Here is a 27,823-nt window from a genome sequence, read left to right on the forward strand (position 1 = left end):
TCTTGATACAGAAAACCTTTATTTTGGCTACGGCATGAGAGCACTGAGCCAGACTCCTGTGTCTAGCCAAAGTTAATTAGGCTACATAAAACTCCAGTTGTGGAAGTAGTGGAGGTTCCACAGAAAAGTCCCATACCCCAGGCTGAAATGGTGTCAGTGTAGTTTATCTGGAAATGTAATGCAGTGTGTTTCCATGGGCCTTTTGCTATTATTATTTAGAGCTAAGACTTCTTTTTCATTCATTTGACCCTCTCCAGAGAAGAGTTACCTTCATTTTGGAAGCTGACCAATATTTGGGTTTTTTTGTTTGTTTGTTTATTTATTATAATTACTGCACAGACATGTTTAGATTGGAGCTAGTTCAGAACAAATGGTAATTTTTCCTGTTAATCTGATTGAGTAATTATTATGGGTATATATAATTCAAGTTGCTAAATTTATTCTATGAAAAAGTGAAGACATAATATCACATATATCATGCTACTGAAATATTGGATGAAAATATAGAAGGAAGTTTAATCACCACAATATATTCAGCTAAGCCTTTATATGAAGTTGCTGTACCTGAACGTTATGATTTATCAGTCTGGAGCTAATAGAGTTATCATTGTATTATTTTTACTCTGAAGCATAATGAATCTGATAGTTCATTTTTAAGGATCTCCCTTCCACTCCAAATATGCATTTGTTTTCTAGTATCAGTCTTATGATTATTCTACTTGCTGTCACTAAGTGACACAGGAATCTCCAAAATCTCTCAGGCTTTGATTCAACTTTTGTATGTCACTTAGTAGAAATCATCATTAGAGCTATTTCTTTTGCCTGATAGTCTCAGGAGCAATAAAAATTAAAATACTCAAATTCTTTTGAGTATGCCACTAATGTGGCATTAAAGGCCACATGAGATAATTTCAGCTATATCTACATATATATGCTGCTTTGTTTTTTATTATTTATTTATTTATTTTTGAGATGGATTCTCACTCTGTCACCCAGGCTGGAGTGCAGTGGCACGATTTCGGCTCACTGCAACCTCTGCCTCCCGGATTCAGGCGATTCTTCTGCCTCAGCCTCCCGAATACCTGAGACTACAGGTGCATGCCACCACGCCTGGCTAATTTTTGTATTTTTAATAGGGATGGGGTTTCACCATATTGCCCAGGCTGGTCTCGAACTCCTGACCTCATGATCTGCCCACTTTGGCCTCCCAAAGTGCTGGGGTTACAGGCGTGAGCCACTGCTCCAGGCCAGCTTTTTATTTATTTATTTCAAAACAAGTAAGATTAGTTGACCCTTGAACAACACAAGTTTGAACTGTGCAGGTCTACTTATACACAGTTTTTTTTTTTCAATAAATACATTGGAAAATTTTTTGGAGATTTGCAACAATTTAAAAAAACAGGCAGACAAACTTCATAGCCTAGATATATTGAATAACTTTTTTTAAAGTTAGATGTGTCATAAATACATAAAATATACGTAGATACTAGTCCATCATTTACTGCTATAAGATATACACAAGTCTATTATAAAAAGTTAAAATTTATCAAAATTTATGCACACAAACACAGGCTATTATTATATTATTAGTTAAGTTTTGGAGGAGTCAAAAGTTATATGTACATTTTCACCTGCATGAGGGCTGGCCGCTCTAACCCTCACATTGTTCAAGGGTCAATTGTATATTGCTTTTAAGGTAACTTACATTTTGTCATAGTCAGCGACTCTCTGAGGCTGGCGTGCGGGTGGTAAAGGAATTTACCAAGACATTAATGAGTGTAGAAAGACAGATTTATTTAGAGAAACGGGGGAGATACATTGCAAGGGAGCAATGGGCAAGACAGCGGAGGGAAGGCTGTCTGCTATTTGCAAAGAGGTAGGGGCTAGATGGGAGTTTTATAAGGCTGTGCTGCTTTAGGCTGAATGCTTGCAGACAGGATGCTTGGGTCCAGGGGGTGCTGTGAGCAGCGTGCATGTAACAGGGTGCTTGGGTGCTAGTGAGCCATTTGGGGTTGACCTCATTTCTCATAACATTTGCCCTCTACCCCTGTTTCTGTTCCTGCTATCTAAGCCCATTTGTAATTTTTTATTAACTCCCCAGGGGTCCACACATTTTTAAAATTTTATTTTTTATATTTTTGAGACAGGGGTCTCGCTGTATCGCCCCAGGCTGGAGTGCAGTGGCACGGTCTTGGCTCACTGGAATTCTCACTTGGCTCAAGCAATTCTCGTGCCTCAGCCTCTGAAGTAGCTGGGACTACAGGTGCCCGCTACCGGGCCCGGATAATTTTAGTAAAGCTGTGGTTCCGCCATGTTGGCCAGGCTGGTCTCAAGTCATCTGCCCACCTCGGCCTCCCAAAATGCTGGGATTACAACAGGCATGAGCTACCGTGCCCGTCTCACACATTTATTGTTGTTATTTAACTTGTCTGTTTGGTTTCTGTATCTGATCTATCATCGTCATTTAATGCAATATAAATAGCCAGCTGGTTCAAGCCCTCATAATCCCTAGTACTCTGATATTCCATATTACTGGAGGCATATAGATGGAGAAGTGACATGCTTTTTAAATATAGCTTGGCTTTCTTACAGAACTAAAAAAAAAAAAAAAAGGCAGTCCTGTATAAAAACTTGCATTGGATACACATTTTTGTTGAGCCTGAACTTTGTCTCTTTCTGTCTAATAAGCAGTGGTGGTACAAAGACTAACAGCATTCCCTTGGCCTCCGTGTATTTTATTTAGGTGAAATTCACAATAAAAGTCAGTCTACCATACTAGTGACTGGTGGAAATCGTTTTTGTTTCAGAAAGCACAATTATGTAGGTACATTCATTGTATTACCTTACCCTTTAATTTTTATTATAGGCACAGGATCCCATACCACTTGGAAGATTCCACCCCCCGCCCCCCATTTTATAGCTTTCATTTGTTAAATAAGCCCCATTGATACTCTATGATACTTGACTTCATAGCTTCCAGCTTGTTATTCTTTCTGCTACATCATATTGACTCTCCTATCACATAATAAAGCATAAAAACATTTTCACATGAGTTAAACTTTTTAGTTTATGCTTTATGTTTCCCTTGCTTGGTAATTTTTTTCTAATAATATATCAAGTAGAACATTTGAGTATCGCTCCTTGTTAAAACAGCATCTGGTCTAAGCCTATGTTGACTCTTAGGAGTGATGGTACAGACAATATACATTTTTAGAAACATATTTCTTCTCAAGTAGTTGGGCCAATGCTTTTACAAAAGGAAATGTATTTTTTCCTTGTGGCATTTGGTTATACACACACACATACACACACACACACACGCACATAAACGATGCCACATCTGTTCTAAGATGTGAAGGTCTTCGTTTTTGCAGACTCATAAATTGGTTCAAAACCTGCCTGGCCATGAACATGTTCACAAGTTCATAAGGTTTTTGTGATTTCCCCTTATGTTTACCTATGTTACATTTGAGGCTCATGAGGCTCAGCAACCTGAAGCATGAAGCCTGCAGAGCTATGGAGTGTATCCTTAGTTTTTAGTAAAATTGTACTTGCTTCAAACACAGTTAATTCTGGGGTCAGCTTCACATTTTTCCCAAGTTCTGAGCTTCTTATTCATTTCATATATCCCTTGATATATTAAATAAATCCTCATCTCTTGTTTTCTTCATCTTATGAAGAATTAAATATTACATATAAGGTGGATTGTTTTGTGAGGTGGCTCCCTCCTGTTTTCTGAAAGCAGTACTATTTAAATTGCTTTGTTTGTTTGTTTTTGAGACAGGGTCTTGCTCTGTCACCGGAGCTGAAGTGTAGTGGTCCACACCTCCTTGGCTCAAGCTGTCCTCCTTCCTTGAATCCCCCAAGGGACTGGTATGAAAGTTGTGAGCCACCACACCAGCCCTTTAAAATTGCTCTTTAGCTTTTTGGTTATTATGCTAAAATATACATATGTGGTATCTCATGTACATAAATGCCTGACTTCAAAATGCATAAAAACATTTTGAAAAGAAACCTTCATTCAGTTTTTAGATTTTTCTTCTAATACAGTTCTGAAAGGAAAATGCATTTTCTGTGTATATTTTTAAATGAAAAGAATTTTAACATAGCTACTGGTAAAAAAGATTTAAGTATTTGTATTTGTGATAGAAAATAGTGACAGTGGAGTTTACAGCTGAGTTTTTAATTTGAATGTGATGTATATAGTTTTCCTCAAATGTGAAGTTTTGAAGGAACCATTATTATACTCCACACTGAAAGGGGTGAGGGTGAAGGGCATGGGAGACCTGAGTGAATTGGCTTGACCTTTATCTGGTAAACATTTAACTGGTAGAATGTTGGATTGAAGCCAGAGCACCTGAGCACTTACCTGCCTAGTAATTGATTTCTTCTCACAGTGGAAGGCATAATTCTTTTAAAAGGCTTAAAATTGCAGGACTCTCATTTGTACAACATAATTGAGGCTCTTTGTCAAAAGTGACAGGATGAGGTACATTCTTGAGCATATACTGTAATTCAGTCTGCATGGCAATAACAGTACCTGTGGTAGAAGACCTCAATATGCAGAATGACTCATGTGTAAGTAGGACTCTTTTGTCAGTTTGACATTAGCTGTATGGCATAGAGTTTACACTGGGCACTGACTGTTGTATAAAGCCATATATAATGATGTCATATAATGGAGAAATAAGTATTGTGGTTTTTAGAGGTAACATCACCAAGAAATTTTTGTCTCTGAAAGATGAAACCTGAAGATATCATCTATTTTATAGGTTTTTCTATTTCTCATCTTTTGAGATGAAATAGCAATAGCTAAAAGAGAAATAGACTTTCTGTCTGCTTGAATCAGAAATTTACTCACTTAAAGCAGAAAATTACTTGATCCGAAGCCTATGACCTTATGTTGTAAGATTTCCTTGTATATCTCAAAGAGGTTACATCAGCAGAAGTAAAGGATTAAGTTTCAATCTATTGCTTTGGCTCAAGATGTTTTCCTGAGGGTGTCTGTCTTCCCCTTTTCTACCTAGGGTACACATTTGCCAAAGTGGTAATCACTCCACTCTCTCTCTGCTGATATGGAAGAGGACTCTTCCATCCTGACTCCCTCATCATTTTGATACTTCCCTCTCTCTCTCTCTCTCTCCCACCCCTCCCCCTCTCCCTCCCCCTCTCCCTCTCTCTCTCTCTCTATATATATATATAGTTATGTATAGTTATATACGTCTATATTTATATAGGTGTATATAACTTTGCTTTTACACATTTGCCTGGACTGTGTGTGTGTGTGTGTCTGTGTGTGTGTGTGTGTGTGTGTGTATATATATATATATATGTGTATATATATATATGTGTATATATATATGTGTATATATATATGTGTATATATATATATATACACACAGAGAGAGAGAACTATAATATTTTTATATATAGTTATGTATGTCTGTATTTATGTAGGCATATGTAACTGCATTTTTACCTTTATATATTTGCTTTGACTGTAAACATTAGCAAAGCTGACTCAACAAGTAATGCTACATAGCAAGGATTGCTTTTAAGTAAGAATAAAAAGAAGAATTTCAAATATGCTGAAATTTAAGAATGCCAAGAAGATTTTACTACTGCCATTATTTTACTGCTGCCATTTTTGCTTTGATAGGAATTATCAAAGCAGTATTCCTAAAATGTACAAAATCCATTTCCAAAATATATTCCACGTAATATAATACTTCTAGATGTCCTTTGAAAAAAAAATCCAGTAGCCAAATTAGTGTGAGGAAAGATACATACTATATTTCATTCTTAAAATATGTATATATTATATCCATTAAAGGCTCTGAAAGTCTTCTTTGTATTTAAAGCCCTATTTAGCTTATTCATCATATGAAACAGGTTTTTTCAAGTTGAATCCATTTATCCCAAGATAACAGTATTCTGCCAAATGTACTTTGGAGAATTTTATAAGATACCAAACTGAAAGGGAGCAGTCATGCAGAATACAAAAGTTTTAGAAATAAACATAAGTGAAAGAAACTACTATTTACCTGGTAAACTGGTAGACCTTGAGTTGGTGACAGAACACCTGAGCTGTTGCTTACTCAGTAATTTATTACTGTCAAGTGTGCTGTCAGTGTTTAGCATTGGAAAACTTACTAAAAAAGAGTGTGATTCATTGCTCTCCTCTATGATTGATATGATGGGTGGACGGAGATAATAGGAGAGCTCCAGGAAATCAGCATGGAAGTGCCAATGAGGTCAACATTTTGAAAGAGAAAGATTTCTTATTAACATCGAGGCTAGAGCTATGCAGAAAATAGCCATTTGTCTAGATGAATCCAAAAGAAAAGAGTTGAACTACTAGTTGATAATGTTTTAATGCATTTAAGGATGTATATGTAATTTTCAGAATACTAGTTAAAAAAAACAAAAACAACTTTTTTTCATGCTTACAAAACCAGTCATAAGTTTGAAAGAGGAAATTGACTTTATTAATTTGTGATCTTAAGCAAATTGTAATTATTTTCCATTTCTCAAATAGAAACAGCATTTGGTGATTCCAGTATTTAAAATCTTTTCCTCACATATCTCTGGCAAATGTTGTTACTTATATCCTATACAGAATAATACATCAGAGGAAGCAGTTATGACTTTGAGATTTTTCCTTTAACTGGGATGCTCTCACCCTCCACATTTAGCAGTTTGAGTCATAATCTTTTTTTAAGTTTTATCTTATGAATTTATTTGTGTTGCAAACTATTCCAACATGAAAAAAAATATGAGGCACCTATGTATTTTTAACTCAGATAAAACAAAGGCTATAATTTTATGGCACTTCTGATAGACTTTTTAATGCAATTAATTTTTAATAAATATTTATTTTAGAATAGTTTGATTACAGAATTGAAGTTAGTACAGAGAGTTCTCATATTCCCACACTCAGTTTCCCCTATTATTAATATAATACATTAGTATGATACAGTTGTCACAATTAATGTGCCAACATAGATATATTGTTATCAACTAAAGTCCATATTTTATCCAGATTTCTTCAGTTTTTCCTTCATGTCCTTCTGTTGTTCCAGGATCCCATTTAGGAAACCACGTTACATTTAGTAGTCATGTCTCCTTAGGCTCCTCTTGCTGTGACAGTTTCTCAGACTTATTTTTATTATGATGACCTTGACAATTTTGAGGAGTAAAGGTCATATATTTTGTAGAATGTTCCTCAGTTGGTATTTGGCTGATATTTTGTCACGATTAGACTTAGACTATGGGGTTTGGGAGGAAAACCACCAGAGGTAAATTATCATCCTCATGATATCAAGGATATCTATTAGCGATGTGACTTATCATTGTTTATGCTAAACTTGATAACATGGCTTGAGGTAGTTTTTGTCAGAGTTCCCCATTGTAAAGACACTCAGTGTATTCCGTTTTCACGCTGCTGATAAAGACACTCCCAAGACTGGGCAATTTACAAAAGAAAGAGGTTTAATGGACTTATAGTTCCACATGGCTGGGGAGGCCACAAAATCATGGCGGAAGGCAAAAAGGAGCAAGTCACATTTTACATAGATGTCAGCAGGCAAAGAGAGAGAGAGAGAGAGAATGCTTGTGCAGGGAAACTCCCGTTTTTAAAACCATCATATCTCATGAGACTTACCCACCATCACGAGAACAGCATGGGAAAGACCCACCAGCATGATTCAGTTATCTCTCACCAGGTCCCTTCCACAATATGTGGGAATTATGGGAGCTACAAGATGAGATTTGGATGGGGACACAGAGCCAAACCATATCATTCTGCCCCTGAACCCTCCCAAATCTCATGTCTTCACATTTCAAAACCAATCATGCCTTCCCAACAGTCTCCCAAAGTCTTAACTCATTTCAGCATTAACTTAAAAGTTCACAGTCCAAAGTCTCATCTGAGACAAGGCACGTCCCTTCCACCTATGAGCCTTTAAAATCAAAAGCAAGTTAGTTAATTCCTAGATAAAATGAGGATACAAGCATTAGGTAAATACAGCCATTCCAAATGGGAGAAATTGTCCAAAACAAAGTGGCTACAGGCACACACAAGTCCAAAATCCAGTGGGGGCAGTCAATTTTTTTTTTTGAGGCAGATTCTCGCTCTGTCGCCCAGGCTGGAGTGCAGTGGCATGATCTTGGCTCACTGCAACCTCCACCTCCCTAGTTCAAGCAATTCTCCTGCCTCAGCCTCCCAAGTAGCTGGGACTACAGGTGTATGCCACCATGCCTAGCAAATTTTTTGTATTTTTAGTAGAGATGGGGTTTCACTGTGTTAGCCAGGATGGTCTCGATCTCCTGAGCCCATGATCCGCCCTCCTCAGCCTCCCAAAGTGCTGGGATTACAGGCATGAGCCACCGCACCTTGCCAGGGCAGTCAAATCCTAAAGCTCCATAATGATCTCCTTTGAATCTATGTCTCACATCCAGGTCATGCTGATGCAAGATGTGGGTTCCTCTGGTCTTGGGCAGCTCCACCCGTGTGACTGCAGGGTATAGCCCTCCTCTTGGCTGCTTTCATGGGCTGGTGTTGTGTGTCTGTGGCCTTTCCAGGTGCATGGTGCAAGCTGTCAGTGGATCTACCATTCTGGGGTCTGGAGGACTGTGGCCCTCTTCTCACAGCTCCCGGTGGAGCCCCAGTGGGGACTCTATGGGGACTCTGACCCCACATTTCTCTTCTGCACTGCCCTAGCAGAGGTCCTTCATGAGGGCTCCACCCATGCAACAAATTTTTGCCTGGTCATCCAGGCATTTACATACATCTTCTGAAATCTAGGTGGAGGTTCCCAAACCTTAATTCTTGACTTCCGTGCACCTGCAGGCTCAACACCACATGGAAGCTGCCAAGGCATGGGGCTTCCACCCACTGAAGCAACAGCCTCCAGCTGTACCTTGGCTCATTTTAGTCATGGCTGGAGGGATAGGACATAGGACACCAACTTCCTAGGCTGTACACAGCACAGGGACCCTGGGCCGGACTCACAAAACCACTTTTTCCTTCTAAATCTCCGGGCCTGTGACGGGAGGGGCTGCCACAAAGGTCTCTGACACGCCCTGAAGACATTTTTCCCATTGTCTTGGTGATTAACATTCGGCTCCTCGTTACTTATGCCAATTCCTGGAGCAGGCTTTAGTTTCTCCTCAGAAAATAGGATTTTCTTTTCTATTGCATTGTTAGCTCGCAAATTTTCCAAACTTTTACGCTCTGCTTCCCTTATAAAACTGAATGCCTTTAACAGCACCCAAGTCATCTCTTTAATGCTTTGCTACTTAGAAATGTCTTCCACCTTAGGGCCCAGCACGGTGGGTAATGCCTGTAATCGTAGCACTTTGGGAGGCCGAGGTGGGTGGGTCACCTCAGGTGGGGAGTTCAAGACTAACCTGACCGACATGGAGTAACCCCGTCTCTACTAAAAACAAAATTAGCTGGGCTTGGTGGCGCATGCTTGTAATCTCAGCTACTTGGGAGGCTGAGGCAGGAGAATCGCTTGAACCTGGGAGGCGGAGGTTGCCGTGAGCCGAGATCATGCCATTGCACTCCAGCCTGGGCAAAAAGAACAAAACTCTGTCTCAAAAAAAAAAAAAAAAAAAGAAAAAGAAAAAGTAATGTCTTCCACCAGATACCCGAAGTCATCTCTCTCAAGTTCAAAGTTTCACAGATCTCTAGGGCAAGGGCAAAATACCATCAGTCTCTGCTGAAACATAACAAGAGCCACCTTTGTTCCAGTTCCCAACAAGTTCCTCATCTCCATCTGAGACCACCTCAGCCTTAATTTCATTATTCATATCACTGTTAGAATAAACAAAGTTGATAGATCGTAGCTAGATTAACAAAGAAAAAAAAGACAGAGTTTTGAGCATTATTGACTCGAAGTTTTCTTTTTTGTTGTGTCTCTGCCTGCTTTTCGTATCAGAATGATGCTGGCTTCATAGAATGAGTTAGGAAGGAATTCTTTCTCCTCAGTTTTTTGGGATAGATTCAGTAGGATTGGTGCCAGCTCTTTGTACATCCAACAGAATTGTCTGTGAATCCATCCAGTGGAAATCTTTTTTGGTGGTTAGGTTTTTTTATTACTGATTCAATTTCAAAACTCATTATTGATCTCTTCAGAGTTTCAATTTCTTCATGGTTAAATCTTGAAAATTGTGTGTCTCCAGGAATTTATCCATTTCCTCTAGATTTCATAGTAATTTTGAAGGATCTTTCCTATTTCTGTGGGATTGGTTGTAATGTCATCTTTGTTATGTCTGATTATGCTTATTTGCATCTTCTCTGTCTTTTTTTCTTTGTTAATCTAGCTATGATCTATCAACTTTGTTTATTCTTTCAAAAAACCAGTTGTTTGTTTCACTGATAATTTGTATGGATTTTTGTGACTCAATTTAGCTTTGTGGTTGGTTTCTTCCTTCTTTTCCAGTTCCTGTAGGTGCGATGTTAGATTTTGAATTTGACATCTTTGTACCTTCTTGATATAGGCATTTAGCACTGTAAACTTTCCTCTTAACATTGCTTTTTCATCCCAAAAATTATGGTATGCTGCATCTGTTGTCACTTATTTCAATTTTTTATTTCTGTCTTAATTTTGTTGTTTACCCAAAAGTCATTCAGAAACAAGTTCTTTAATTTCCATGTAATTGATTGGTTTTGAGTGACCTTCTTGGTATTGATTTCTATTTTTATTGCACTGTGGTCTGAGAGTGTGTTTGGTAAGATTTTGATTTTTTTTTTTAAATTTATTGAGACTTGTGTATGGCTGTGCATCTGGTCGCTCTTAGAGTATGTTCTATGTGCAGATGAGAAGATTATATATTCTGTGGTTGTTGGGTGTAATATTCTACAGATGTCTATTAGATCCAGTTATTGAAGTGTCAAGTTTAGGCCTAGGTTTTTTTGTTTTGTTTTGTTTTTTAGTTTTCTGCCTTAATGATCTGTCTAACGCTGTCAGTGGGGAGTTAAAGCCTCCCACTATACTATATGGCTGCCTTAAGTCTTTTCATCACTGCAGAAGAACTTGCTTTATAAATCTGTGTGCTCTAATATTTGCTATGTATATATTTAGGATAGTTAAGTCTTTTTGTTGAATTGAAACTTTCATCATCATATAATACCCTTCCTTGTCCTTTTTGGCTGTTGTTGGTTTAACGTCTGTTTTATCTGATATGAGAATAATGACCTCATCTCTTTTTTTTCCTATCCCTTTGTCAGACAGGTCTTTCTTGATCCCTTTACTTTGAGCCTGTGGGTGTTGATACCTGTGAAACAGATCTCTTGAAAACAGCAATTGGGTCTTGATTTTTTAATGTAACTTGCCTTTCTATGCCTCTTACGTGGGGGTGTTTAGATCATTTACATTCAGGATTAATATTCATATGTGAGATTTTAGTCCTATCATTGTGTTATTAGCTGTTTTATGTAGACTTGATTGTATAGTTGTTATATCATATCTGTGGGCTATGTGCTTAATAGAGTTTTTATGGCAACAGGTATTGTTCTTCCATCTCCATGTTTAGTACTCCCTTAGAGACCTCTTTTAATGCTGGTCTAGTGGTAATGAATTCCTTTAGTATTTACATGGCTGAGAAGGATTTTATTTCTCCTCCATTTATGAAGTTTAGTTTGGTGGGACATGAAATTCTTGGTTGGAATTTCATTTCTTTAAGGATGCTGAAAATAGGTCCCCAATCTCTTCTGGCTTGTAACGTTACTGCTGACAAGTCCAGTTGCCTTTAAGATATTTTCTTTTTCATTGACCTTGTAGAACCTGATGACTGTGTCTTGGGGGTGCTTATTTTTTATATTATCTTGCAGGAATTCTCTGATTTTCTTGAATTTGCATGTTGACCTCTCTAGTAAGATTGGGAAAATTTTCGTGAACTCTTACATATCCTCAAATATGTTTTATAAGTTGCTTACCCTCTCTCCTTCTCTCTCAGGAATGCCAGTGAATTGCAGTTTTGATCTCTTTACATAAGCCTATATTTCTTGGAGATTTAATCATTTTTCTTATTCTTTATTCTCTTTTTTGTCTTTCTGCATTGATTCAAATAATTAGTCTTTGAGCTCTGAGATTCTTTGCTCAGCTTGCCCTGTTGTGTTGTTAATGCCTCCAACCGTATTATGACATTCCTTGTGAATTTTTCACTTCCAGAACTTTTCCAGTTTTTTGGTTTAGTTCTTTCTTAAAATGGCTATTGCATCTTTCAATTCTTGGATCATTTTACTGGATTCCCTGGATTCTTTGGAGTGTGTTGTGACTTTCTTCTAGATCTCATTGAGTTTCCTTGCCATCCAAATTTCTAAATTGTACATCTGTCATTTCAGCCATGTCAATCTGGCTAAGAAGCATTTCTGGGAAACTAGTGAGATCATTTGGAGGTAAGGAGACACTTAGACTTTTTGAATTGCCAGAGTTCTTGTGCTGATTCTTTCTCATCTGAGAGGGCTGGTGTTCCTTTATCTGTTTTAGAATTTGCTGTCATTTGGGTGGGACTTTTTATTTTTATATTCTTTATTTATCTTAAGGGTTTGACTGTGAGATATGTATCTATTCATTTGGCTTCAATTCTGGGTCCTAACAGAAGGCCATGGCTCTGCACGGGATCTTTATTTGTGGAAAGATTCCTGCATTTTGTTTCACAGGCAGTGTATACTGGCCGAATTTTTTTTTTTTTTTTTTTTTTTTTTTTTTTTTTTTTTTTTTTTTGAGTAGGGGTAGGGCGGTGTAATTCAAGTTCCAATCCAGTAGATGGTGCTTAAGAGTCATGGCTGGCAGGCGCGAAGCAGGGAGTGGTGGCTCACGCCTGTAATTCCAGCACTTTGGGAGGCCAAGGCAGGCAGATCAATTTGGGAAGCTGAGGAGGGCGGATCACTTGAGGTCAGGACTTCGTGACCAGCCTGGCCAACATGGTAAAACACTGTCTCTACTAAAAATACAAAAAACAGCCGAGTGGCCAATATGGTGAAACACTGTCTCTACTAAAAATACAAAAATTAGCCAAGTATGGTGGTGTGCGCCTGTAATCCCAGCTACTCCAGAGGCTGTGGCAGGAGAATCACTTGAACTCGGGAGGCGGAGGTTGTAGTGAGCCCAGATTGCACCATTGCACTCCGGCCTGGGCGATAGAGCTAGACTTTGTCTTATTAAAAAAAAAAAAAAAAAAGGGGAGAGAGAGAAAAGAAAAAAGGGCCTAGGAGGCAGAGAATGCAATGAGCCGAGACTGCGCCACCGCACTCCAGCCTGGGAAACGCAAGGAGACTCTGGTCTCCAAAAAAAAAAAAAAAAAAAGAGTAATGGCTGGCCGATTGGCTCCTAGCCTAGCACCTCTTTTGTGATTCAGCACCTTTGCAGTAGTGCTCTGTGGTGGGGGAGATGGGAGAGAAGAGATGACCCCCTTATCATATACGTTATTGGACCTTAGGGGAGCCTGCTGCAATCACTGGTGCCGTGCCCTTGAACCCCCGCTTCACTCTTCCCCATGCTCTGAGAGTGACGGCTCTTACCCTGCTCCAACCACAAATCTCAGCTCTGCATTCTGGATCTACGTGCTCTGACCCTGGGGACTTGGGACCTACTGGGCCAGCAGCCTTGTCCTCTGACCCTTTGAGATCGAGCACCAGCTGTGCTTGGTGGAGGCAGGGGGTTTTGGCGGGGAATTGCCCCAGGGTGGGGTTGCTCCCAGGCCACTAGCAAAGCACTCAAAGCAGTATGCCTGCTCCTGTGCAAGCAGCCAAGCAGGGAACCCCAGGAGGGGTCAGTGCACAGGCAGATGTGCAGATCTGACACACCTTGATATCTTAGGAAAGACAGCCCTGTTCTCTCCCAGTCCATTCAGCAAAGTTAAGAGCCATGCAGAGGAGCATGGAGAACCCTTGGATATCGATGCCTATTACCATATTTTGTTGCAGCTGTCCCCATGCAAAAACCCCCTGGGCTTTACACATGCTCAAGTTTGGTCTCTGTCTACTCTCTGGGCAGTCCCCCCTACCAGCTCAACTGTCTGTAGGGGTGGTGGCATCTTGTGCAGCCAGGATCCCAGAAGTCCATGGTAAGTGTGGGTTTCTCTACAGGTTCCTCACTTACCACTTCCTTAGGAGCCATTCAGGGCCAAGGAGTCCTTCCTGTAGGTCGGCCATCCCATGCAGTGCTCTTAGTTTCCTCTCTCTTTAGCCTTGGTGCCTGCGTTGCCTCTCTGTCAACTCTTAGTGTTTTCTCCCAAAAGATCTGTCTTGAAGTATGTTGATTTGCTCCATATTTTGGTCTCACTCGCTTGGAGAGGCTCTTCCTGGGTGTGTCTACTTGGCCCTCTTTTCCCTCCTCTTCTTAGGATACTTTTTATTTCTTTGCTATCAGTTGTAACGTTTCCTCTTTCATTTCTGATTTTTGTTATTCGAATCTTCTTTCTTTTTTCTTAGTCTGGTTAAGAATTTGCTGAATTTACCTTTAAAAAACCGAACTTTCCATTGTGGAAGACATTGTGGCGATTCCTCAAGGATCTAGAACTAGAAATACCATTTGACCCAGCAATCCCATTACTGGGTATATAGCAAAAGGATTATAAATCATGCTGCTATAAAGACACATGCACACACGTATGTTTATTGTGGGACTATTCACAATAGCAAAGACTTGGAACCAACCCAAATGTCCATCAATGATAGACTGGATTAAGAAAATGTGGCACATATATACCATGGAATGCTATGCAGCCATAAAAAGATGAGTTCATGTCCTTTGCAGGGATATGGATAAAGCTGGAAACCATCATTCTCAGCAAACTATCACAAGGACAGAAAACCAAACACTGCATGTTCGTTCTCACTCATAGGTGGGAATTGAACAATGAGAACACTTGGACACAGGGCAGGGCCTGTCATGGGGTCGGGGGCTGGGGGAGGGATAGCATTAAGAGAAATACCTAATGTAAATGACGAGTTGATGGGTGCTGCAAACCACCATGGCACATGTATGTAACAAACCTATGTAACAAACCTGCACATTGTGCACATGTACCCTAGAACTTAAAGTATAATAGAAAAAAACCCAGAAAATTTAGAATTGAAAAAAAAAATTCGAACTCTCAGTGTTGTTGTTATTTTTCTATTGTTTTTCTATTCTCTCTTTCATTTATTTCTGTTCTAATCTTTATTGTTTCCTTCCTTCTGCTGACTTTGGACTTAGTTTCTTCTTCTTTATCTAGTTTCTTGAGGTATAAAGGTAGGTTGTTGATATGAGCTCTTTGTTCTTTTGTAATGTACACACTTATCACTTAAACTTCAGTCTTAGGACTGCTTTTGCTGCATTGTATTTCGTTCTTCTTACGTTTTAATTGAGCATTTAATATGATTTTATTTCCTCTCCTAGTGTATCAATTATATTTCTTTAAAAATTTTCATGGTGGTTGCCCTGGAGTTTGTGATGGACACTTTATACTAAGTATACCTTTAAGTGACATTAAACTGCTTGATGTGCGTACAATTACCTTACGGAGTATTCACAATTCCTCCCTCCTGTCCTTTATGACATCTCTGTCACTCATTCTACTTACCTATATGCTGTAATCATCTAATTAATTATTACTATTGTTACATTAAACAGTTATTTAGATAAGCTCAGAAAAAGACAAATATTTTATTTACCTTCATTTATTCTTTCTATAACCCTCTTCATTTTTTAATATAGATCCAAGTCTCTGATATCATTTTCCTTCTGCCTGAAGAAAATCTTGTAGGATTTCTTATGGGAAAGTCTGCTCATAATAAATTCCCTCAGGTTTTGTATCTAGAAAGTTTATAGTTCTGCTTCATTTTTAAAGGATAGTTTCACTGGATATAAAATTCTAGATTTGTGGGGTTGTTTTTCAGTGTTTTGAATATTTTACTCTACTCTCTTCTTGCTTGATGGTTTTTGATCAGAAGTTCACTGTAATTCGCAACCTTATCCATAGGTAAGGTGATTTTTTCCCCCCTGTTTGGACTTCTTTCAAGATTTTCTCCTTGTCTTCCTACAAGTTTGAATATATTAGGTTGGAGCAAAAGTAATTGCAGATTTGCCATTGAAAGTAATGGCAAGAACCACAGTTACTTTTGCACCAACCTAATAATATGCATAGGTTTAGTATTTTTGGAATGTATCTTATTGGTGGCCTTTGAGTTTTTTGAATCTCTGGTTTTGTATCTTTCATTAATTTGGGAACGCCCTCAATCATTATAACATTAGCTCTATTTTTCTTCTCCTTCTGATATTCCAATTGCCCATATGTCACATATATTGAAATTTTTGCACAGTTCTTTGATATTCTGTACTTTTCATTCCTTTATTCATTGCACGTCCATTTAGAAGTTTCTGTTGACCCTTCGTCAAGCTCACTGATTCTTTCCTTAGCCATCCTGGGTCTTCTAATGAGCCCATCAAAGGCATTCTTTACTTTTGTTAGAGTGGTTCTAAGAACATGCATCTGTTCTTGCATGTTGTTTACTTTTTCCATTAGAGCACTTAACATATTAATTATAGTTATTGTAAGTTCTCTGTCAATTCCAAAATTTGTTTCATATTCCAACATGTAAGTCTGGTTTTGATGCTTGCTTTGTGTCTTTGGACTTTGTTTTTCTAATCTTTTGCCATGTCTCATGTTTTTTTGATGAATGCAGGACATGTTGAATTGGGTAGTAGAAAATGAAATACGCAGCCTCTAATGTGAGAACTGGTATTAATCTGGCTGTGAACTGGGCCTCGTTTAGTGTTTGTTGTAGCTACAGCTGCTAGAGGCTTCAAATTTCTCTTCCGTTCTGATTGTCTCCTCTCTTGCCCTTAGGTTTCCCTTAGTACTCTTTCTCTGAGAGATGCTGTCTTGAGACTCTTTCACTTGTAGTCCACTATTATACAGAAGGCCAGCTGTTGTGGTGGTGAAGTATGAGGGAGGAGGAACATTCTGTCATTAGTCAGTTACATCTCAGTCTTTGAATGGATGGGCCTGTGTCTGTGTCCTGTGACCTTCATGAGTTATTCTACTTGTGTAACTCCTAACATTAGGTGAGACAAAGTGAATAGATTAATTGAGAGGAGTGTCTTTACCCAAAGCTCTGGGGAAGGCTCTGGTAACATCTTTTACCCTGGAGAATAGGCCTCTGTTATTAAGGAGGCTCTGGATGTATTTCACAGGGATGAGTCTTCTACTTCCCCTGCCATCACCAGGAGAGTGGGGGATCTTTTTTTGTTCTTCACTATGAAAACTTAGTCCGGTTCCTGAAAGGTGATGGTTGAGTACCCCCTAAGACTGTGGTCCTCAGGGTTTCTCTTTCTCCTGATAGTCTACCCTCAGCCTCCAGCAAGTTGTCAAAATTACTGTGTAAGTGTGCCTATGAGATTTTTGGCTCGATTTGCTTCTGCGTCAGAAAAGCAGGTCTCCACTATGATTCTCTAGAATCTCCTTTCTCTCCACATTGTAGGGTGGTGGCTTGCCTTTCAAACTCAGTTCTCTGATAGATCTCAGAAAAATCATTGATTTCCAGTTTGTCTAGTTCTTTCTTGTAAAAATAGGAGTGATGCAATTTTTATGACAATTTAGATTTCCTTTTTCCCCCAAAAAAACACTGCGAGAACTAATCTCTGCCTTCTTTGTACTCTTGAGACACTTTCAACCCCTCTTATAGTACTTACTCTAGGTTGTCTAATATAACAGTGGCCCCCATCCTTTTTGGCACCAGGGACCAGTTTAATGGAAGACAATGTTTCCATGGACTGGGTAGAAGATAGGGACTTGGGAGGGACGATTTTGGGATTAGACTCTTCCACCTCAGATAAACAAGCATTAGATTTTCATAAGGAGTACACAACCTAGATCCCTCACAGTGCAGTTCACAACAGGGTTTTGTGTTCCTGTGAGAATCTAATGCTGCCACTGATCTGACAGGAGATGGAGCTCAAGTAGTAATGTGAGTGATGGGGAGCAGCTGTAAATACGGATGAAGTTTCGCTCATTCACACACCACTCACCTCCTGCTGTGCAGCCTGGTTCCAAACAGGCCATGAACTGGGACCTGTCCATGGCCTGGGGGTTGGGGACCCTTGTAATACAACATTGGAGCTGCTAATATTGTATAAACATACTCTCTCTATATCTATTTTTTTATCTCAATCTGAAACCAGTTCAATTGTCCCATATATCTGATATTTATGATTTTGTTTGAATAAACATAGAGATTGACCCTCCCATTCTTAAAACTTGTTTATCTTGTCTGAGTTCCTTTCTCAAGAAACCAGCCATCAGGCCTCCCAGATTGTATCAAGGAACTGAAACTCACCACATCATCTCATCTGATCAGTGAGACGCCAGACCTCTCACCCATCATGATTGCCTGAGCAGCAGCCTGCTTCCTGTTGACCAGCTCTCCTCTTCCTTAGCCCTCCCACATTCCTGTTTACCTGCATGTATTTACATTTCTTCCCTGCTATATAAACACCTGATTTTAGCTGGTCAGGGAGATGAATTTGAGACTAATCTCCCATCTCCTCAGCTATGGCACCCAAATAAAGCCTTCTTCCCTGGTGATAGTCATTGTCTCAGTAATTGGCTTGCTGTGCATCAAGCAACAGGATCTAGACCAAACCCCTGTCATTTCAGTAACAAATCTATGTCTGTGTCTAAATCTGTATCTTAATATATCAGGAACCACCGATATTCGTGAGATATGCCATATATTTTTATTTTCCCATCGCACAAGGCATAATGTGTATTGTATGTAGTAAACGCTTGATTGATGTTTTATTATTTATTTATTTATTTATTTAGAAATGGAGTTTCACTCTTGTCACCCAGGCTGGAGTGCAATGGTGCGATCTCAGCTCACTGCAACCTCCACCTCCCAGGTTCAAGTGATTATCCTGTCTCAGCCTCCTGAGTAGCTGGGATTACAGATGTGTGACTCCATGCCCAGCTAATTTTTGGGTTTTTAGTAGAGATGGGGTTTTGCCATGTTGGCCAGGGTGATCTTGAACTCCTGACCTCAGGTAATCCACCCACGTCGGCATCCCAAAGTGTTGGGATTACAGGCATGAGCCACTGCGCCCGGCCTGACGATGTCTAATATTTCAAAAGTATAGAATTAGTTGTTTATAAAAATATATTTGATCATAAAGCCTGACTTCCTTTTCCATTAGGACTCCATCATTTTAGGGTGGCTGCACTTATATGAACGCTAGTTCTAGACTGCCTGGCTTGTTCAACTACTTATTAGCTCTGTGATTTGGGGCAAGTTATTTAACTTCTCTTTATCTCATCCTTTTTGTCTGTAAAATGAGGGAAAAAGCATTTTCTTGTTGAGCAGTTAAATGAGTCCATACATGAACATAAGGCACTTAGAACAATGTCTGGTCAACATATTGTAAGGACTTGATAGTCGTTAACCATTAGCAGTAAGAATGATATTATTGTTATCATTGTTATTTATGTCTTTGTATGGCATGGAACATTGCTAATTATTTGACCATAACTGTACTCGTTCAGCCTTATCAACCATCATTGCCCACAGTATTAAACTTACAGTAACTCCCTAAGTATGTTCCATTCACTCATTCTTTGTCTTTTCCAAACTTGGTGCTGCCTTGGTCTATAATATCTTTTTCTTGCCTCTCCACTTAGCAAAGTCCTACCGAACTATACAACTTAATCTAAAACACTTTCTCTTTCATAAAATAGTTCCTCATTCTTCCAGGTAGCCTTCAAATTCTTCCAGGCTTCTTATTGCATATGAATAACTACATGATACTGAATTGTAACACATTAATAAATATTGCTTATTTTTTTAGATAATGAAAGTAGATACCATGTTCATTATTGTTACTAGCTTGGTTTTTAGTGCATAATTGTTCAATAAATACTTGTTGAATGAATGCAGGTGAAATGATTCTAAAGCAAGGATTGGCCCAATTCACATGAAGCTTTCAGTCAGGCCGTAACACTCACTGACACATCACTGTCCTTCCCTAAGTTAATTTTTCTGTTATCTGTGCTCTCATGAGAGTAAATAGGTCACCTACTCTCTCTTATTATTAACTATTATCATGTCTATCTTACTCACTAGAATGAAAGCTAGTCTAGTGTATCAGCTTGGTCTTACTTATTTTTTATGCTGAGAGGAGACCTTAAATAGCAGTAAGTATTTGTTGAACAAAATACATCATTTTAGTGTTACATGGTGGACAAAAAAATGAGAGAAGAAAAAAATAAATATTAAAAGTTTGAAGGGATAAATGGCAAAGGTGAAGTTTTACACAACTAATTAGACAAAAAAAGAAAAAATGATGCTTTAAGTGGGTTAAAGTAAGTAAGAGTCTGTAGAAGATATCTTTTTATTTCATTCTGTTGGTTAAATTCTGTTGGCAGAAGTCCTCAGCATTAAGAAGGGATTGAAGGCTGAATTTAAAGAGTCAAATAGTTGGATAACAACATGTTTACATGTAAAATAATTTCTTTATTATCTTTGTCTCAGTAAAATAACATGGTAGTCCTATGAATATAGAAACAATTATTTTGGGAATATAGGCATGAAAAAACACAAAATTTATATATTCATTTTTTATTCACTTGATAACATAGAAGAGTATGATCTTCTGGCCATGTGTTTTGCTCTGATAGTCTTGGAATGGGAATCTCAGCAAAGTGTGTAATATAAGCCATTCACTTCAGAGGGAATTTGTAGAATTTCATGAACAGTGGTCGTGATGTTAATGAGTATGTACAGTATTCTTCTGACAGGTATAACAGAATACAGATAATCCTCTGTTGTTTTATTAGGTATGAATTATGGCAGCTAGAAATAATGTGATCATTTATAGGGATTATAATATTTATGTATTTCAGCTGAAGAATCGGCTTTACATAAATGTGACAGGATGGAGATTAATGTGAAATATTTTCCACATGAAGTGATTGGGTTGAATTTACACTGAAAAAGATTATAGAAGAAGCAAGCTTTTCTTTTTAGAGTTTTGCTGTAGTTTTGCTGAAGTTCATTCTGATCTTAGAAATTACTAACTTCTGCTTAACATAATATCACTTAATTTGTAATACTAATTATTACAAATATTAAAATAACTACTGTAGTAAAAGACATTTGAGAAATCTTTATTTGGAAATGTGAGGATTTTTTAATAATGATATTGTAGATATCCAAACATTTATGAAATTAATCGATTAGTTATTATTATTTTAAAACATCTAAATCTGAAATGACATTCTCCAAAAGAATGAATATGTACAGTTATATGAAATCTTTTTTAGAGATGATATGATTTATTTAAGTGGCCCTTCTTTAGGCACATAGCTTATTCTACTCATATTTTTCTAACTTCATTTGATCATTAATCCACCTAGGCTAGCAATACTTAAAACTGCCTTTTCTACTCTTTCTTGCTTATCTTTCAGTACAGAAGCTATCTGCTGGATATAATGCCTTCTTTGCATTTTTTGTGGACTTTATTTTTCCCTCCATTGCCTATTCAGTACTTTTTATTGTATTGTTATATTCCTAAAAACAAAATAAGGAAATGTTAACATACTCATCTGTAGCCATTTAATTTGAGGAAAGAGATGTGAAATATGACTGATTTGAATAAAATAGTATTTTGAGTAACCTAATTTTGCTTCTGTGAAATAGCAGGTATTTGTATACTGCAATATTCGAAGTCAACTGAAATTCTCCAACTTCCTTATAATTTTGAGATTCATAGCAGCTTGAGCCCTGCTGAGTATTTCAACCTGAGCTTGCTAAATCATGTCAGTATTTCGAAGAGACAGTGGACCTTTTGGAAAATACATATTTCTAGGGCGAGGTGGGCGATGTATTCTTAAACTGTCTCCAGTATATACATGAGTTTTCCAGTTTGATCAAAAAAGCCCTACATTCTTCTAAGTGTAACTTCAGTGTTGAGCATTGGTCTCTGTTTTGTCTTTTCTTCAAATTCACTGAACTCTAAGGCAAATTTTGCCTATGTTTTTCTAAGACATTCCAAAACAAGTGACAATTTGGTTGATAATGAAGTTCTTTTAGATTACAAAGTTATTTGTGTAGAAGCATTATAAGAATACTATTTTTTTATTTTGTTTTATTATTATTTTTGAGACAGCATCTGGCTCTGTCACCCAGGCTGGAGTGTAGAGGCTCCATCTCCTCTCACCGTAACCTCTGCCTTCTGCACTCAAGTGATTCTCCCACTCCAGCCTCCTGAGTAGCTGGGACAACAGGCATCTGCCACCACGCCCAGCTAATTTTTGTTTTTTGGTTTTTGTTTTGTTTTGAGATGGAGTTTTGCTCTTGTTGCCAGGCTGGAGTGCAGTGGCGTGATCTCAGCTCATGCAACCTCCGCCTCCCCGCTTCAAGTGATTCTCCTGCCTCAGCCTCCCGAGTAGCTGGGACTACAGGCGTCCGCCACCACACCCGGCTAATTTTTGTATTTTTAGTAGAGACAGGGTTTCACATGTTGCCCAGGCTGGTTCCAAACTCCTGGGTTCAAGTGATCTGCCCCTCTCAGCCTCCCAAAGTTCTGGGATTACAGGCATGAGCCAGTCCTGGAATGCTATTTTAAATACAACTAAAATAACCATGTACATCTATGGTTTGCCTCTGAGTAAATAGATTTAGGTATAAAAGGTCTAGTTAAGAAGAGAACTTTTTTTTTTTGAGTGTTCACAATGTATTATTGTACTGCACTTCTTAAATATATGTTACCTTATTTAATCTCTTAAGATTTAGCTACTGCTATCCCTATAACACAAAGATCATAATAGCTAGCATTTACTGAGCACTTACTCTGTAACATGCACTGTTGTCAGAGCTTTACGTGTGCTATCTTTGTCACAGTCTCATTGAGAGGTATGATATTATCCCTGTAAAGAATTGAATTTCTGGAGATTTTAAGTAACTTGCCCAAGTAGTCCCGCTTTTCTAGGGATCAACCTTCACGAGATAATCAAGCTCATGTCTGATTCCCAAGGCTGTATTCTTTCCTCTATGTGACTGCTTCTCTTTTTATAACATATCAATGCTTGTTTTAAAATAGAAATTACTTTAGATAATTTAATAATTTAGTATCATAGATAATCCCTCAACTCTTCCAAGCTCCATGTTGGGGTTTTCCATGGCATGACACTACATACCCCAATGTGTACACGAATACCATTTTGAGAAGCTGAGCAGGTCAACATATTTCTTCCAAAGCTTGCACTGTATTTATAGCAGTTGTTGTGCAAGGAATGATGTCAAATTGACTAAACTGCCATCCTATATACCTTTGAATTGCTTTGGTGAAAATTCTCTGATGATTGGGAGTGTCTGTTCAGTCCTTCTTGCATCTCAAAGATAAACCTGCCAAATCAGGTGACAATTAATCTGCACAATGTGATGAAGAGCATTCAGGAGGTTGATGTTTAGCGAGTCCTGTGCAGCTCACATCACACATTTTTTCCTTCTAAGGTCAAGAGTGTCTTTGATGTTGACAGTGGTAATTTAGCTCTGAGCTGAACTACTGTTAAATTGTCTATATAGAGGCAAAGAAGTTGAGACTTTCTGTTCTACCTCACCATGTCACCTCTGTACTCCATGTTTTCCTGTAAGTGGCCCACATTTTCTTGTGAAATTACACATTTTCTCTCACTGTCAGAAAGAAAGAAAGAGAATTTCATTTTGTAATAATGCCAAAACACATGTGTGTGCTTCCACTAGCACACTGTAATGCTGGGACTTGGGAATGGTCCAGTCCGGCGATACGCTTGTCGCTTGTATTTATACATACAGACTTGTTCTGCTGGTCATGTGCCAGGTTCTGGCCATTTGTGCGTGTTTTCCCCTTTCCACCTAGTTTAAAGGTTTCTGTAATCTTAATATGCACCACTGCTAGTCACTTCACACTCTAGAAGCGAAAGTGAATGAGTATTGCTTACTAAACATTGCTGTTTTCTATAGATCTTTCTTTATTTGTAAGTCACAGAAAATTATTGTTCGCAGAAGGTGACTCAAGAATCTTTAGCCTGGCAGGAAGTAGAAATCTGATAAAGTTTAGTTGTTACATAACCCTGTTTGGTCAAAAAATGTGTTTTGAGTTGATTGGTATCAAATTAACATTTGTAAGCTGCTGGTCCTTTTAACTAGTGTTAAATTAAGAAAAATTTTCCATTAAGCAGAATTTCTAAATAATTTTCTTAATTTGGATCTTCTAAAGAGAAATTTTAAGCCACCAGCACTTGGACTGACTAGATAGCCCTTTGCTTTGATGCCTGGCCAATTTTTCCTCCATCTGTGAGTCAGCGTAAGTATGCCTACTCTTTTTTCAAACCTCCCCTGACTCACTCATGCAGAATAGAAGTCCTGCTTTCTGTTTTCTCCTTATGTACTTACTGTGCACTTGTGTAACAAGAGTTCTTTTAAGTATAATCTTCAATTTGATAAGGGCCTACCTCTGGAGTTGGCATGATGTTACACCATGTGTAAGAGTAGGAATTACCCCAGTTTATCTTTTCCTATCCAGTGCTGCACACAATGCCAGGCATATAGTAGGTACTCTCTAAATACATGATAAGGAATGGGTGGATGCATGACTTTGTCTTTAAGCTATAAAGTTAGTTGTTAAATAACATAATGATTCCTGGTAGTGAACTTCTGGAACATGTCTACAATGTAATAGCATGAACTGTGAAGCCAGATAGTTTCTGTGTGAATCCCAGCTCTGCCAAATCAAGCTTCTGTACCTGGGCAAGGTACTTAACCTCTCTGTGCCTCGCTTTCTTCTTTTGTAAAACCAGGATTATAATAGTATTTTAGGGCTTTTTATGGGGATGTAATGTGACCATACATCTGAAGTACTTAGAATAGCGCCTGATGCATAGTAAGCTGCTCTATAATATTTCTGTTCTTACTATATAACCTCCAAGGAAAAAGTAGAATTGCAGTGTGCTGTGACAACAGGCCCCTGGAAAAATGTGTTTTGGTAAGTGGAGAAGATGAATGGAAACTTAATTATGCCTAGCAAATTCCCATGGTCTCCGGCTCTGAAAGGATATCTTTGTTAATGCTCTCTTTGTTAAGAGTGTCTTAGGGAATGGACAGCTGAGGTCACAGTAAGACCTCACTGATGTTGCTAATGGAGCCTAGTGGTTTCATCTTGTGGGACATGGCAGTGTCATGAAGCCATCATTTGACTCATCTAATTGTGAATTATTGTGAGAGAGAAACAGGAATTAGGGTAACTGTAGACTTTTGTCCAAACCAGGAAGGGGGTGCTGTTATAAATACATTGAAACAGTGGGCATAGACAGAGCAGTTTCAGGCAAACCAGAATTACTTAGAAGAACAATTTAGACTTTCAGTACATATGTGGCCTAGTTCACTTAAGAACCTTTCTGAGATACTCTACCTTTGATGTGCACCGTTACCTTGAAACTGCTTTCGGAAGATAAATGTTAATTTATCCCTCCTCTGTTTAATTTCATTCATTAGTACAGAATGTGAACTACACAGTTGATTTTAGGTCTCACTGCTTTCCCCAGTCTTAGTGTCCGCTGAGTGGGCCTGGGAAGAAGAGCTGATTCCTTTACCGCATGGTAGACTGGAAAGCAGTGGAAACAAGAGAGAATGACATGAATTAAGAAGTTACTTTTTCTTTAATCTAAATGTTTAACCACCTCCCCTGAATTGAATTCCATTTTTGAATTGCAACCAGTCATGTTCAGTTAACCCAGATCCTTGGATTTATAACTGAAAAAAAAAAAAAAACTTATTCAGATCAGTGGCTTTTCATGACTGTTTATCTTTACGGTGTCAGAACCGGACTAGAACTTAGGTTTCAGTTATTAAATCCAATGCTGTCTTCAGTACACTGGTAAATCATCAGAGAATTTAGTGTCTAAATAAATTAAACCTCTATGTTCTTAATAGCTGAAGCTTCCTCATATATATAATATATATATAGTATATATATATTGTGTGTGTGTATGTATATATATATATATAAAATTAGAGAATTATTTACATCTGGTTTTATCCTCTTACAAGAGCATTTGGATTTGAGAGCAGCAAGTGGCACCCTGCCAGTGACAAATGGAGGCACTGTGGTTGCCTTCCCATCATCCGCTACCTTTTATGGTGTCAAGGGATTTCTAGCTCTCCTTTGTGACCCAGCTGCAAAACAGCTGTTGTTTAGGCTCCTGCCTTTTCACTCTCACAAGACAGCTTTTCTTACCATCCCCACAGGGTTTAAACTTCTGCAGTACAAGTGTCAACTCCGTTTTGTGAGCTCAGGCCTCCCGTTTGGGAGCCAAACAGCATAGCACTTCTCATGCTATCGCTAAGCAGTTTGGAAGGAATTATCCAGTGAATGCTTATAGTGCTGGTGATAACAAATGAGAAACACCCATTGTAGTTACAGCTGAATGGTTGGAGTCATGGCTAATAGCTAATATTTCAGGGTTTTCTAATTGCACTAATTCCCTAAATGGAGATCACATTGACCACTTTATCCATCTAAAGTAAAGTTTCCTATTGGAAACCAGTTTTTCATGAACTTTTGGTGTCATCTTATGCATCATAGAATGCTAATAAAATTTGCGGGTTTTTTTTTTTTCCCTTATGAGGAGGAGGTGTTACCAATTATGGCAATGGCATGAAGCTCTGAGTATCACTCAGGTCTCAAGATTTAGTCAGATTTACCACGGAAACTATGCCATCCATCATTTAGGCAACAACACTTCATAAGGAGAGTACGCATTTAAGAAAAGTGTTTTGAGTGTTTGCTTTTGCAAGATGTTTAGCATTCTTCGTGCATCTTTGACCACCTACTACGCATCTGGTCCTTGGATAAGTGTTGATTAAACAATTCTACTAAATTGGTTTACAATGAGCAAAAGAGATTACAAATGGTAATTAGAGTACATATGGTAAGTGTCACAACAAAAGTAGGAATCAAGTGTTGTTAGAGCACCCAGGAGGAAAAAGACTCAGCTTAAAGAATTCTGGGCAGGCTTAATTTGGTCATGGCCATAGTTGGCAAGTTATCTAAGACAAATAGATTTTGGGGTTATTTCCTCTTCTAATTTTAAACTAAACTAAAAAAAAAAAACATACACATTAATTTTTATGCCCCCTTATCATTTATGTTTTATGTTATTTTTTAAAAACCCTCATTGTGTCTCCTCTCCTTCTGCTGACACTGCTGCTCCTCTTTCCTTCACAGCCAGGTATGTTGGCAGTTGTCTGTAATTGTTCTATCCATTTCCTTACCCACCGCTCCCCAAATAACACCCACTTCTTCTGGCTTCCATACCTGTTAAACATACCTTCCTGCAGTTACCAGTGATCATGTTATGAAATCTAGTGGATGTTTTTCAGCATTAGACACAATCAACTACTGCTGTTTTCTTGAGACCCTGTTTCACTTTACTGTCAACCTCTTGATTCAGCCTGGTAAACCACACCCTTGACATCTCAGCTATCTCAAAAGTAGGCCAATCTCAACAATTCTCAAAACTAAGCTTATAATCCTACCCACTAAACTTGGCTTTCTTCCATTATTTACTATCTTCTCTTCGGTTTTGGTCCAAAAACTTAGGGTCACCCTTGCTACTCCATCCACCTCTTTGCATTATCTCTGTTCTATCCACATTATTCTGTCTGAATTTATACAAATAAATTTCTCTCATGTCAGTCCACTAATCTTCCTTTCGTTGCCACTTCTCTACGTGCCTTCTGCTCCCATTCCACTCTCTTATCCTCAGTACCCTCAGAGTGATATTCATAAAACAGCGG

At 38.3% G+C, this 27,823-nt stretch overlaps 1 protein-coding gene across 5 annotated transcripts in view, besides 1 other annotated feature; it reads left to right on the forward strand.

Moving 5' to 3' along the window:
• Window positions 1-27,823, forward strand: part of TMTC2 (transmembrane O-mannosyltransferase targeting cadherins 2) — a 447,961-nt gene that overhangs the window by 305,128 nt on the left and 115,010 nt on the right. The gene's annotated exons all lie outside the window — the stretch shown is intronic.
• Window positions 11,848-12,349: an enhancer, noted in NCBI's record as "NANOG hESC enhancer chr12:83397660-83398161 (GRCh37/hg19 assembly coordinates)". NCBI's record gives its function as "activates a minimal SCP1, AML or CMV promoter by ChIP-STARR-seq in primed H9 embryonic stem cells {active_cell/tissue: H9 hESC(primed)}" and the evidence as "EXISTENCE:reporter gene assay evidence [ECO:0000049][PMID:30033119]".

This window comes from Homo sapiens, chromosome 12, assembly GCF_000001405.40.
Source record: "Homo sapiens chromosome 12, GRCh38.p14 Primary Assembly".
Classification (NCBI taxonomy): domain Eukaryota; kingdom Metazoa; phylum Chordata; class Mammalia; order Primates; family Hominidae; genus Homo; species Homo sapiens.